Here is a 15,643-nt window from a genome sequence, read left to right as displayed (position 1 = left end):
CTGAGCAATGGGTCAATGGATTAATGAATAAGTTAAATAAGTAAGTGGTTAGACTTTGTAGAATCATAGTTCTACAAAGATTTCTAAGATGTCATCCAATATTTTCCCTGTCCTCAGGCCTGATTTTTCAACTGGTACCTTCTTGTCAGTTTCAGTAGCTCTTTAATAATCAACAAATACATACTGAACATCTAGCCTTGTATTAGTCAGGGTTCTCTGGAGGGACAGAACTAATAGGATAGATGTATAAAGAAAGGGGAGTTTATTTAGGAATATTGACTCACATGATCACAAGGTGAGGTCCCACAATAGGCTATCTGCAAGCTGAGGAGGGAGCAAGAAAGCCAGTCCGTCCCAAAACTTCAAAAGCAGGAAAGCCAACAGAGCAGCCTTCAGTCTGTGGTTGAAGGTTCAAGAGTTCCAAAGCTGAAGAACCTGGAATCTGATGTTTGAGGGCAGGAAGCATCCAGCACAGGAGAAAGATGTAGGCTGGAAGACTAAGCCAGTCTAGACTTTCCACATTCTTCTGCCTGCTTTTATTCTGGCCGCACTGGCAACTGATTAGATTGTGTCCACCAGATTGAAGGTTGGTCTTCCTCTCCCAGTCCACTGACTCAAATATTAATCTCCTTTGGCAACACCCTCACAGACACACCCTGGAACAGTACATCGCATCCTTCAATCCAATCAAGTTGACAATATTAAACATCACCAGCCTGTTCTAGGCACTGTCCAAAGTGCTAAGGATCCAATAGTGAATTTGAAAGATTGGGTCCTTGCCTACGTGAGACCACGTTAAAAGGGATACATTTCAGGTAATAATAGACACTATTAAGAAGAACAAAGCAGATTATGGTAATTATTAACGCTGTTTACCAAGAACTTCCAGTCTTCCCTCCAGACAGATGATAGAATTGCACCTGAACTCGTGATATTATATATACTTAGGACTCACTTTGATCAATTAAACATGACAGGTATTGCTTCTGGGTGAAAGCTTTAAAAGCCAGTGCTTGACTTTCCTTACTCTTACCCAAAGTGGTGGATGATCTGCCAGTTTGTTTCCTGGAGTGAGGAAACATGGAGTAGAGCCCACAGCTGGCTTGTGATGGACATGAGAGTGAGCAAGAACTAAAGCTTGGTAGTGATAAGCCCATGTTTGTTTTGTTTTGTTTCTGCAGTATAACTGAGTCTATCCCAAGTAATTTATATTGGTTGATGGTATAGATAAAAGAGGATCAATGCAGTGAAGTTGAGAAAGGGAAAGCATTTATAAATAAATATTAGAATATTTGAGTACATTATAAATGATGAGGAGTGAGGCTTCTGAATATCTTGGGGGAGAGATTTCCAGCTAGAGATGTTATGCCTAGGCTTGGAGGAGGAAACAGACTTGGCTTGTGTCAGGAACAGAAGAAGGTCAGCATGCCTGGGTGGCCGTGAGCACAGGGGAGACCATTAATGCAGCCAGTGTCCACATCAGGTAGTGCTTAAAAGGCCATGGGTGAGAGTGTGGATGGGGGATTATTGAAGGTTTTAGCAATGGAGAGGTTACCTGATTCACATTTGTAAAAACTCACTGTCATATTGGATGGGGATCCTGTTACTTGAGTTCAAAGGATACATAATGTCTCTAATGAGGAGGCCATTGTAGTGGTCTAGGGAGGAGATGATGGTGGATTCAAGTCAGGTGGTGATGGGAGGATTGGTGACAAATGGTCATTATCAGGATATTATTTTAAAATGTCATGTAAGTCTGAGGCAAAGTATCTCCCTGTTAGAAATCACAGTTCCTGTGTTGCCCAGGTTTTCTTTCTCATCTTTCCCATAACACTTTCTGCCTGATATAATATGACCTTTACCCTATCTTCTCCCTGAATCTAATTGCCTTCCATAAAAGATGACTTCAAGTTATCTCCCTTTCATGTGACCCTCTCTAACCAGCCTTACCAATTATCATATTTCTATAACAAGAGTTATTGATTCATTCTTTCACTCAATCATTGGAGAACTAATTTTTAAGGACTTAGGATGTTCCAGGTACCAGTCTAGGCACAGGCACAGGGGATGATGACAGACTACACAGATATATTTTAGCCTTTATGGAGCTTACATTTATAACTAAAAAGAACACATTAAAATACGTATTTATTTAAATATGTAATTATTTCATTGAAATTGTTTAAGATGTTGCAAATGGGAAGTCAAGGGTATTACGAAAACATACAAAAAAGAATATAACCTAATTTTGGAGAAGAGGTAAAAAATGTTATTGAAGAAGATTATTTTAATCGAGTTCTGAAGAATATGTCAGAATCAGAAAAGTGAAGAGAAAAAGGAACTCATTCTGAGACTCTTGGAAAGAAAGAAACTTTAAATTAGTCACTCTTGTAAACTAGCATTTCATCAAGTTTTGAAAATTAAAAGTGCATAGATCTAGTCATGGCTTACACTATCACAGGCAAAGTTTTTCTCCTGTTGGAACCTTATGCAGACATTTTAAGAGTTCATATAAGGTTATGGGTATAGTCACTTCAGACTTTAAATTACATTATTTCTCCCTTCCCCATCGTTTTTGAATACAACTAACTTGAGCCATTCACTGCCTGGTGGAAGGGGGCAAATGTGTTTCTTTTTATTGAGAGAGGGCAGTAATTTCCTCATTTTAAGTGTCATTAAAATGTGTATCTCCTTTCAGTGTTCATTATCCTTCATAATAGATGCGTTGCCGCATGTAACTGGTCCCCATATTATATCTGTAGATCATGGAAAGTGTAATATTGGCCAATCTTCTGCTTGGAGAAGTATGTAAACCATTCAACTGGTTACTTAAAACTTATAAAATGCATTTTAACCTGACTTTTCTATTTTGATGTGGGTAGAAAATAATGCACAAAGCTGGGACACTGGCTGAATTGTCAGCTAAATGAAAAAAGTAAGCAAATCAAAATGTATTCAGGTCTTTATTTCCTCATCAATCAAAAGGCTAATAATATACACTGCGTTAAAGTGCAATATAAGGCTGACATCAAACAGAGTAATAGTTAAGGAAATTGTCATGGAGATGTGTAAATGCTTCATGATCACAAGTTGCTATTTATTCTGGAGTGAATAATGTAATTATACTGGTATTCAAAGGTATTGAAGATAGGCAATTTGCTCAAGTATTACTTGATTTTCAAAACCTGATGAGTTATATATTAATAGCCTATTTTTCACACGAGTGGATTAGAACTCAGAGAATTTAAAGTACCTGCCCAAAATGACCCAGATGGTGGAACTAAAGCTGGAACTTAGATCTGCTTGAACTCAGAACTTCATAAGCTCCGTTCCCTAAGGCTTTTTAATTTCAAAACACTTGGTGAAATTCTCGTTTAGATTGGTGGTTAATGTGAAGTTCCTTTCTTTCCAAGAATCTTAGCTTATGTTCTTCTTTGTACCAGGGTATTTCCAGAGACAAGGAAAGGTGTTGATAAATCAACTGGACACAAACCTGTACTTCAGATTATGTACACTGATTAAACCAGAGGTATACTTAGGCCTGTATTTCTTTTATTCTTTTCTTCCTTTTTTTTTTTTCTTTTTGAGACAGAGTCTTGCTCTACCAGCCAACCTGGAGTGCAGTGGCACGACCTCGGCTCACTGCAACCTCCACCTCCTGGGTTCTAGTGATCTTCCCGCCTCAGCCTCTTGAGTAGCTGAGACCACAGGTGTGCATCACCACGCTTGGCTAATTTCTGTATTTTTAGTATGTTTAGTAGAGACGGGGTTTCACCATGTTGGCCAAGCTAGTCTTGAACTCCTGGGCTCCAGTGATCTGCCCACCTTGGGCTCTGAAAGTGCTGGGATTATAGGCATGAGCCACAGCACCTGGCCTTAAGAGTGCATTTCTTAGTGCCCCCTATGTGATCATATGACAAGCTTAATCACCAGTGCCAGATAAAAGGAAGCACAGGCTCCTTTCCACATCTGCTCACAAATCTGGCAGAATTCAGTAGAACACATACAGATTCTGGAGTCAGAAGGAGCTCTGCTGGAGTTCAAATCTACAACATCCTAATGTGTAATGTGAATAGACTTGGAGCAAGTTGTTTAATCTCAGCAAGCATTGGTCCCTCTGTGTCCAGAATGGGTGGGTTCTTGGTCTCACTAACTTCAAGAATGAAGCCGCGGACCCTCGCGGTGAGTGTTATAGTTCTTGATGTGTCCAGAGTTTGTTCCTTCTGATGTTCGGACATGTTCAGAGTTTCTTCCTTCTGGTGGGTTTGTGGTCTCACTGGCTTCAGGAGTGAAGCTGCAGACCTTCACAGTGAGTGTTACAGCTCTTAAGGCGGCACGTCTATAGTTGTTTGTTCCTCCCCTCTGGAGTTGTTCATTCCTCCTGGTGGGTTCTTGGTCTCTCTGGCCTCAGGAGTGAAGTTGCAGCCCTTCACGGTGCGTGTAATAGCTCATAAAGGCAGGAAGGACCTAAAGAGTGAGCAGCAGCAAGATTTATTGCAAAGAGCAAAAGAACAAAGCTTCCAGTGTGGAAGGTGACCCAAGTGCATTGCCACTGCTGGCTCGGGCAGCCTGCTTTTATTCCCTTATCTGGCCCCACCCACATCCTGCTGATTGATCCATTTTACAGAGAGCTGATTGGTCTGTTTTACAGACAGCTGATTGGTCCGTTTTGACAAGGTGCTGATTGGTGTGTTTACAATCCCTGAGCTAGACACAAAAATTCTCCAAGTCCCCACAGAGCACTGATTGGTGCACTTACAAATCTTGAGCTAGACACAGGGTGCTGATTGGTGTGCTTGCAAATCTTGAGCTAGACACAGAGTGCTGATTGGTGTATTAACAATCCCTTAGCTAGACATAAAGGTTCTCCAAGTCCCCACCAGATTAGCTAGACACAGAGTGCTGATTGGTGCATTTACAAACCTTGAGATAGACACAGGGTGCTGATTGGTGTGTTTACAAACCTTGAGCTCGACACAGGGTGCTGATTGGTGCATTTACAAACCTTGAGCTAGACACAGAGTGCTGATTGGTGTATTTACAATCCCTTAGCTAGACATAAAGGTTCTCCAAGTTCCCACCAGATTAGCTAGATACAGAGCGCTGATTGGTGCATTCATGAACCTTGAGCTAGACACAGAGTGCTGATTGGTGTATTTACAATCCCTTAGCTAGACATAAAGGTTCTCCAAGCCCCCACTAGACTCAGGAGCCCAGCTGGCTTCACCCAGTGGATCAGGCACCGGGGTGCAGGTGGAGCTGCCTGCCAGTCCTGCACCGCGCGCCCGCACTCCTCAGCCCTTGGGCAGTCAATGGGGCCAGACGCCTTGGAGCAGGGGGCGGTGCTCGTCGGGGAGGCTATGGCCACTCAGGAGACCACGGCCTGGGGAGAGGCTCAGGCATGGCGGGCTGCAGGTCCCAAGCCCTGCCCTGCGGGGAGGCAGCTGAGGCCGGGCAAGAATTCGAGTGCAGTGACAGCGCCTGGCACTGCTGGGGGACCCGGTGTGCCCTCCACAGCTGCTGGCCCGGGTGCTAAACCCCTCACTGCCTGGGGCCTTTGGCGCCAGCCTGCCGCTAGGAGTGCACAGCCCACCCGGAACTCGCGCTGGCCCGTGAGTACCGCGCGAAGCCCTGGTTTCCGCCCGCGCCTCGCCCTCTACACCTCCCTGGAAGCTGAGGGAGCTGGCTCCCGCCTCAGCCAACCCAGAAAGGGGCTCCCACAGTGCAGCGGCGGGCTGAAGGGCTCCTCAAGCGTGGCCAGAGTGGGCGCCGAGGAGGCGCCTAGAGCGAGTGAGGGCTGGGAGGGCGCCAGCACGCTGTCACCTCTCACCTCTATCTGTAAAACGGAGGTAATAATAAACCCTCTATTTATACATGCACATGTGTATTAATCAAACGAGGCAACACACGTGAGGTAGTTATCACTGAATGCCTCATTCACTGAAGCCAGTCTTACTTACTGTTTATCACCTGAGAAATAATATCCTACAATATTATCGGTCATAGAAAAGTGTTATCAGAGAATTTATGGTCTACTTAAAGGAAAATAACTCCATTCCTATATCTTGGGAAGAATAGGGTATCTTTATCGCCCTTGAACATGACTAAGATTTTTTTTTTAGTTGAATTACTGATTTCAGCTCTACAGGTCTGAGATTCTTGTTTATGGAGGTCAAGTGTATATGGTCACACTTCTGGACTATTTCCCATTAGTCAGGGCACTTCTCATCTCAGGAAAATCACTCACCTGCCTCAGCAAATCTATCCTTGTGTCTTAGAGGAAACTTAAAATCTTATCTAAAATTCCTTTTCGAAAATTCCACAAGAAAGCATACACCCAGAGTTGCTACTGTTACATAAACAGTAATAGTTTATGTCTTGAAAGTTCCTATATCTCTAGATACTTTGATCTTTCAGAATGGAATCTAAAACTTAGAATCCCCTAAGTTCTGCTTATGTCTGATTCTGCCCACTAAGATAAAGACAGGAAGGGCTTTCTATTCTCTGGTGCTTACTAAGTAGCAGGTAGAACAGAGTATAAATAATCAGATCTCTGCTTTGGAAAGATGACATCACCTCAACATAGAAGACAGAGTGGAGGAAAGTGACTCAGATGGGGACAGAGCTAATGTGGTGAAGAAGTTAAGAAACGTCTGGGCACAGTGGCTCACACCTGTAATCCCAGCACTTTGGTAGGCCAACATGGGCGGCTTATGAGGTCAGAAGATCGAGACCATCCTGGCTAACACAGTGAAACCCCATCTCTACTAAAAATAGAAAAAATTATCCGGGTGTGGTGGCGGGTGCCTGTAGTCCCAGCTACTTGGGAGGCTGAGCATATTCCTGAGTATGGCGTGAAACCGGGGAGGCGGAGCTTGCAGTGAGCCGAGATCGCACCACTCCACTCCAGCCTGGGCGACAGAGCGAGACACTGTCCCCACCTCCAAAAAAAAGAAGAAGTTAAGAAACATGGGCTCAGCATCCTATTGCTGGTTCCACCACTTATTTATTTTCTTTGCCTCTGCTTCCACATCTGAAAAATGAAAATATTCACTGTGTCTATCTGATAAGGCTGTTGTGAGGATTAAAATAATCCATGTAAGTAAGCACTTAGAATGATACCTGTCATAGGTTATGCATTCTATATTAATTCCATATTATATTAGAGCCATAATATTAATCCATATTTGATGATGGAGTTCTGACATGGAGCAATGACAAAAGGGAGATGATATCTACAATTTGATGACAGAGAATGCAGTAGGAGAGGGATAAGGCCAAAAGGAAGCTCAACAAACCAGGAATTTATAATAAGAGTAGGGGCTGTCATTGATAAGCACTGGGAAAAAGGTAAAAGGGGAGTTGAAAATAGCTAGAGGAAGATCAAGCCTGAAGATGAATAGGTCCAGGTAGAACGAAAATGATAAGCAAAGATATGGAATTGAGGAAGTCCATGATGAATAAAATAAGTGGAGAGCTGGAACTTAGACCCTGGTTTGTCTAGATATGTCCCAACTCTAGACACATGTTATTAGATAAATTTCCAAAGCCTGCTGGCTCTCTCCCTTGGGTGATTTGTAAAACTTGGAGTTTTCCTGGTTCCAAGGCGGAGCTTATGTTTCTCTGCCACCAGACAGCCTGGTAGTTGCCACTCAGTCTGCTTCCAAAAAATAGAAATAAGCAAAAGACCTGCTTACATTGGGCCAGTCCAAAGTAGCAACTTATTAAAACATTGCCACATGCCTGCTGGCAAGGACAGCTAGACAATGTGACAGCTTGTGTTTGTCAAGCATGGGGGACAGATCCCAATTCAGAAGTTTAGGCTATAATTTTTCATCTGGCTGGGTCCCTCTTTTCTTCTCTCTGCTACCCAGCAGGAGGTCTACCTGGACCCCAGACTGATGCCACCTGACTCTCTTTTCCCAGTCTTCAAAGGAATAAGATTAAAAGACAACGGACTTCGAAGTGTCATGAGAGTGAGTGCGTGGAATTTGTGGTGTCTGGGATTAGGACACTGGTCAAGCTTATTTTGCCACAAATCAAACTGTACTCAGAAAATAAGAGTATGTTTCTGTCTCTTCTTCTGTATGTCCATTTCTAGCTCTCAAAATATCTCCCTCCTTCTGAAATACAGACATGATCATTTGATTAAAGACTTTCACATGTTCGTCTTGACCTCAGATAAATATTTAAGCCTTTTAGTATGGAATTCAATGGGTATTGACATGTTGCCCTGGCTTCAGCTCTAGTTATTCTCCTGCCCACCTTCTTCTCGGATGATATCCTGATGTGTCACACACTTTTATTTATTTATTTTTTTTGAGATGGAATCTCGCTCTTCTCACCGAGGCTGGAGTTCAATGGCACGATCTCGGCTCACTGCAACCTCTGCCTCCTGGGTTCAAGTGATCTCTTGCCTCAGCCTTCCGAGTAGCTGGGATTACAAGTGCCCGCCACCACGCTTGGCTAACTTTTGTATTTTTAGCAGAGATGGAGTTTCACCATGTTGGCCAGGCTATTCTCAAACTCCTGACCTCAGGTGATCAGCCCACCTTAGCCTCCCAAAGTGCTGAGATTATAGGTGTGAGCCACTGCACCCGGCTGTGTCACACACTTTCATACATTTGTGGCTTTAAACATCCTCCCCACACTTGGAACACATGCTCTCTGACTTTTCCAACTTTCTAGGGCTCACTCTAGTAATTTCCGCTACTGGAATCCATTACCGCACCCTAGTGTTCCTTCTTTGGCATTTATCTGTGTGGCTACAAAGCAGGGCCACATCTTTTCAGTCTCCACTTGAGCACTTGGCACAGTGCCTAAAACATAGCTGAAAAATGGAAGTGAGAAAATTGGCTTGATCTTTTCTATTTATGTGTCTCTTTCCATTTTTCTTTGGGAGTCTGAGTTTCACTCTCTCTTTGTTGCTGTGTCTCTCATCTTTACCACCACTCCCCAGTAAACCAAGGCCTTTTCTCCTCTCCCTGTTCCACTGTCTTTGGGCTAATTCTTTGCTTGCTAAGCACCAAGTTCTCACCCTGATTTGGTGAGTTTTTCTTTATGCCTTTCATAAGCCAAAACATTTAGTCCACTCATTCAACGGCTCTAGGTCCAGGGCAGTAAGGATGCTCCTTTTAGACCTCTTTTTGAGAATATCTTATGAGAAAACAGCTGGAAAATCAAACCTGAAGAATGAGCTGAATTTCTGATTCTTCTTTGGGGCCATAGACAGTTAACTTATTACCACTCTGCCATCCAGTGTTGCCCAGCCACAACTCATATCTGGAGGATGAGCCTAGGGTATGTTAGCACAATGGCTTGTGTCAAGAAATAATTGACACATTATCCTCATTTTGCAGATACACTGGTAAGAGGAAGCAAGGCTTGTGAAAGTCATACATATTTGAGGGAGAATGAATTTTGGATGATGTAAGCATGCAACCCCAATAAAAGATGCTGAAACTCATTCATCAGTGAAAATCATATTACAGATATTCTGTGCTCCAAGGTCTATACCAGGTACTGTGGAAACACTGATCAATAATGTCATGTCTTGGCCTTCAAGCAGTTTATAGCTCAGTATGCAAGCTCATCAGGGAAACTAACAATTATAACATAATGTGATAATTTCTGTCCTAGAAGCCACATCTTTTCTCTCCGGAAGAGGGGCTGGTTTTACATCAGAACACATCGGTTCATCCTGTCAAACTAGGTTCAAATTTTCAAAGCCCCCTGGTCCATTGTCTTTGAAGGAAATTGTCAGGTGGCATAGTCTCTCATCTTAGACCTCCAGCAAGTTCCTGAAATTGAGGATAAGCTCTTTTGCCACAAAGTTATTTTAAGAAATTTAATAAGCAGAAAATGCTCTATGACACCCTATTAAGTACTACCTGTGCAGGCTGCTTGAGGTGTGCTAGAGAGTAAGAACTTCTGGGTGACCTCAGTTTGCACATCATTGTTATATACCTTCTTCCAAGTGCTCCTAAGAGATGTGACCTGTGTTGCTTTGGTTTACAACCTTGAAGCATATCATGCCTTCCCTGATGCACAAAATCTTTGACATGACCTATAATTTTCTGTTGCACTCAATTTCAGTCAAAATATTCCCTCTTGCATTCAAGTTCAGCTCTCTCTTCTGTCTCCTGATTTGCTATCCAGTACAACCACAGGGGAGAAAACTTAATTTTTTGTTACTTTGTTACCTTCTTTTTTGTTCCCTCTTTACATAAGATGAACTGTGTGTGTCCATTGACTTTCTAAGGCCCACTCAGTCTAAACGTTTGTTCACACAGGTCTGTTTCACAGTCTTGTCACATTAGGTGTGGCTTGCCTGTAATACGGATGCTGCTAGTGGCTGAGTGACTGCAGAGTGCATTGCTGAAATTGATCAGGAGAAACTTAATTGATTAAAATTAAGCACCAGATACTATAAGCCCTGCCTTAATGAAAACTTTGTTTTTAAGCATAGGGGCTTGGATGCAGTCATGGAATTTAAATATAGGAAAGGATGTAGAACAACAATAACACATATTTCTACCTGTCAAAATAAACTACCACTCACAATTTGGCACTACTGGTTCCAGTCATTTTTTTAGGCATATTATTGTTTTAAAATTATATAAGTAATATATGTACAGATAGTATTTACCTTTTTCAAAAACATCTACAGCATTCTGGTTAAATTTTAAAGTCCCACTTGACCTCTGTCTCTAAACACAGCCTTTTCCTAAACATTTTTCCATCTCAAAACCACACATCCTCCTTCAAGAACAATATTATTTTAAATTTGGGTGAATCCTTCCAGTCTTTTCTGTATTCTATATACATACTTATAAAAATATGAAATATAATTTTTCAATTTACATTTTGCATTACCTGCTTTGTAATGTATGTAACATTCTACCATTCACTTTTTAAAATTTTAAAGTACTGTTTGGGGAACTTTTCATACTGTTACAAGTAGACACAATTTACTTATTTGAACTTCTAGTCTATCATATGTATTTATTAGTTTTTAATCTATTCCTTTTTGTTAGACATTTAAGTCATTTCTAATTTTTCCCAGTACAAACAATGTTATGAGTAGTATTCTTATGTTCGTTTTGTGCTTTTATGACCAGAATAGGTATCTTAGTTCACTTTGTGTTGCTATAACAGAATACTAAAGACTGAGTAACTTATAAAGAAAAGAAGTTTGTATAGTTCATAGTTCTGGGGACATGGAAGTCCAAGGGCATGGTGCCTGCATCAGACAAGGGATTTTTGTGCTGAGTCATCCTATGGTAGAAGACAGAAAAGCAAAGGAGGGTGAGAGTGAGAGAAAGAAGAGGAGGCTAAATACACTTTTATAACAAGTCCATCCTTGCAATAACTAACCCAGTCCCAAGAATACAGCATTAATCCATTGATGAAGGCAGAACCTTCATTATCTAATTATGTCTTATTTGTCAACTTCTGCCAATGCATTAGGAATTAAGTTACCAGCACATGAACTTTAGTGAACCCATTCAAACTATAGGATTGGGTATCCCAAGAGCAATTACTGGACATAGGGTAAACGTATTTTTAGATTTTTATCAATAATGTGTGAGAATGTACTCTGTTAAGGATTTCAGCAAGGGGCTTGAATGTCCTCAAAAATATAATTTCTTAAGCTACAGATTGGACCTATTATGCTCATCAAAGCCAACAGCTGGTAGAAGCACCATGAAACAATGAGAGGATAAATTTCAGAGTAATTTGGATTTTGTGTGGAAACCTTAAAGAGTTTCAACATTTTCAGGTATGATATTTAGGACCTTGACAAGTTAAACTCAGCTCAAACTTCTAGGGGAGAAGTCTAAAATGAGATGCCACTGCTTTTGAAAAACAACATGGCCCTTAGCTATTGTTGAGTGAGAAATTTTGCAAAGATTTCTAAAGCAGCTTGCCCTTTTATTCAAATAAAATCTTACTGAGAAGATCTCAATACAATACAGAGGAAAGTGGAGCTTCTCTGCTAGAGTGGGGAAAAACTACCTATATGATATGGTTTGGCTGTGTCCCCGCCCAAATCTCATCTTGAATTGTAGCTCCCATAATCCCCATATGTTGTGGGAGGGACCAGTGGGAGCTAACTGAATAATAGGGGAGGTTTTCACATGCTGTTCTCGTGATAGCGAATAAGTTTCATGAGATCTGGTGGTTTTATAAAGGGCAGTTCCCCTGCACACACTCCCTTGCTTGCCACCATGTAAGATGTGCCTTTGCTCCTCCTTTGCCTTCCACCATGATTGTAAGGCCTCCCCAGCCATATGGAACTGTGAGTCCATTAAACCTCTTTTTCTTTATAAATTACCCAGTCTTGGGTAAGTCTTTATTAGCAGGGTAAGAACAGACTAATACACTGTAGATCCTCTGTCCTGTCTCCACACATCCTCCATAATCTATGACAAGGCAGCCTCTGAGGTCTATCAGTGATGCGCCCTTTGGAAATCAGTGGGTTAGTCCAATCTCATTATTTTTCTGAAGATGTTGAAATTCTGAAAAATAAATTTATTGCAAGTGTTTTAGATGTTTCCAAAACTTAGGCCTGGGTTTCTTTCATAACCATGCTTTTCTTTTATCTGGGACATCTATTATATTCCTTATCTAAAAGGATGCTAAGCAACCTTTAAGGCTTATCTGTACTGCTTGAAGCCTTCTACCAAAGATGGGATTTATCCTTTTTCCTTCTTTAATATCTCCATTTAGTTGTAGACCTCAAGCTGAGAGAGCTCACTGGGACTCAGAGGCAGACACAGACACGTTGAAATTCACCAAAAAGTCCTGACTCTAGAAAAGGCAGGTATGTGAATTCATTATTATCCCCTTAAGGCAGAGATGATGAGCTATGGTTGTATTCAACAATATGTTCATGACCCCACTGGAGCATGATCAACAAGATAGCCCCTTTTTTGCACATTAATACACTAGATAAATATCCTTTTTAGAGAAACAAAAATGTTTTCAACATTATATGTTTTTAGCCGTTGTTGAAATGTGTCTAAATTTCCTTTTTAGAAGGGTCATTCAGAGCTTAGTGAGACTTAATTAAGAACAATCAGCAATAGTCACAGCACAGTTTGCTAATTTCCTGCTTTCTCTCTCTCTCTTTCTCTGTCTCTCTCCTCTCTTTTCTCTCCCTCTCTCTCTTCTTTGCTTTCTCTCTTTCTTTCCTTCATTTGCTTCTAGAGACTCTTAGGACTTCATGCCAAGAATAGGAGGTTTAACTCAAAGTCTCCAGGACATACTGTCATGCATTTTGGGGGAAATCAAACTTCTCTGTGATTCTAGCCTTCTAAAAAGTATACTAGGCTGCTGTTTCAAATTCACTATTTCCTTCCCCTCAGAAGTGTTATGCAGTAATCCTTGTACTGATAAAAACAACCAAAAAAACTAAAGTCACATGGGGAGGAAACACAATATTCCCTATAAATAAAAAACTACCTATTTTTTAAGTCCTACGTTGCTATACTTCCTAAATGGTATCTTGTGGCTCATATATGTGCCATGAATGGTTTACAAGTGGCCACAATATGTTTCTCTTCAGCACTAGGGCAGAGGCAAAGGTTTGGTTTGTGGGATCTGCCAGCTGGAGGCTTTTGGGAGGCAACTATTAATGGCTTCACCTACTTACCCAGTGTACCATTAAAATATTGTCATTTTCTGCATGTTCCGTGATGTGAGAAAGGTTGGGAAACTTGAGGAATACCATGAGAAATTGGTTACCAAACAGATAGATAGTCAGAAAATATTAAATGGAAAATTCCAGAAATAAACAATTCATGAGTTTTAAATTGCATGCTATTTTGAGTAACATGGAGAAAATCTCACACTGTCCCTCTCCATCCTGCTCAGAGACATGAATTGTTCCTTTGTCCAGCATAACCAAGCTGTATACTCTGCCTGCCCATGAGTCACTTAGAGGCTATCTCAGTTATCAGATCAACTGTCACAGTATTGCAGTGCTTGTGTTCAAGAAATACTTATTTTACTTAATAATAGTCCCAAAGCATAAGAGCAGTGATGCTGACAGTCTCAATAGCCAAAGAGCAGCCATAAAGTGCTTACTTTAAGTGAAAGGGTAAAAGCTCTCCACTTAAGAAAAAAAAAATGTATGCTGAGGTTGTTAAGATCTAAGGTAAGAGTGAATCTTCTATTCCTGAAGTTGTGAAGAAGAAAAAATAAATTTATGCTAGTTTTGCTGTCACACCTCAAACTGCAAAAGTTATGGCCACAGTGCATAAGTGCTTAGTTGAGATGGAAAGGCATTAAATTTGTGGATGCAAGAAATGAATAGGAATATGTTCTGACTGATGGCAATCAGGTTTGATACTATATGCGGTTTCATATATGCAGCATCCAGTGAAGGTCTTGGAACATATTCTCCTGAGAAAATGGGGAACTACTGTAACTTTTAACTTCAAGATGCTCAATGCATCTTAGATGAAAGGATCCATGCATAATGAAAGAGGATTCTTGTGTATGAGACTTCACCATTGCACTGTAGGCACCTTGAGAGCAGGAGCTGCATCTTATGTATCTCTGCATCCCTCAAGGTTGCATAGTGGCTAATACTAGCTCCAGTGGGTCTGCCTAAGTTTAGATTCTAGTTCTAGGTCTACCACTTTCTATCTGTGCAGCTTTGGGAAGTCAAGAAACTTTTTGTGTCTCAATTTCTTCAACTGCAAAATGGATATCATTCATTCATTCATTTATTCACTAAATAGGTATCTAATGGTACTGGTGATACAGAACAGAGGTTAGCAAAACAGACAAAATTCCTGCCTTAATGAAGCTTTCATTATTTTGAGAAAGAAAGACAGCATATATATCCAGATTCTTTTATGTTCTAAAGCAAAATAAAGCAAGGTAAGGGGAGATAAGATGATGAAGTCTAATATTTTAAATATGGTGTTTAGGAAAGTTGTCCCAGAAAATTAAACGGCATAGAGATGAGCCATGTGGCTATCTATCACAAAAGCATTTCATGCAAAGGGAATTGCAAAGACCAGCATCCCTGATAATATCGGCATTTATGTCATAGATGCGTATAATTATAAGAATTAAATGAGATAATAGAGAGTGAAAAATGTTAGCTTTATGATCTGGCATGGTTTCAGATATATATTAACATCTTTTAAAATGCTTAGTAAATAAATTATTGATCGGGAAGAAAATGAACATGTTAATATTTGTTGGGTTTCTAATATGAGCCATTGTTTTGAGTGCTTTCCAACATTCTCTTGAAGATTGTAACAACCTTGTGTTATGGTTACGTAAGTTCTCTGGAGTTTTACTTTCAAGGATCACATCTCTACCACTTATTAGCTGTGCAATCTTAAAAAAGAAATTTAATCTCTCTGTGACTCAATTTTCTCATTTGTAAAATAAGGCTAATAAGAGTGCTATCTTCCTAGGGTTCTTGTAAAAATTAAATGACTATTATATGTGAAACACTTACAGTAGTACCTAGCACATTAAGCCCTCTCTGTGTTTTTGCGATCAACATCTTATAGATGAAGAGAGCTGAGACCAGATAGATTAAGAAACTTGCCCAAAGCAACCCAGCCCATGAATAGTAGTAAAGAGATATAAATCCAGGTCTTTCTGGCTGCAATGT

Source organism: Homo sapiens, chromosome 8 (assembly GCF_000001405.40).
Source record: "Homo sapiens chromosome 8, GRCh38.p14 Primary Assembly".
Classification (NCBI taxonomy): domain Eukaryota; kingdom Metazoa; phylum Chordata; class Mammalia; order Primates; family Hominidae; genus Homo; species Homo sapiens.
Note: the sequence above shows the minus strand (reverse complement) of the source record.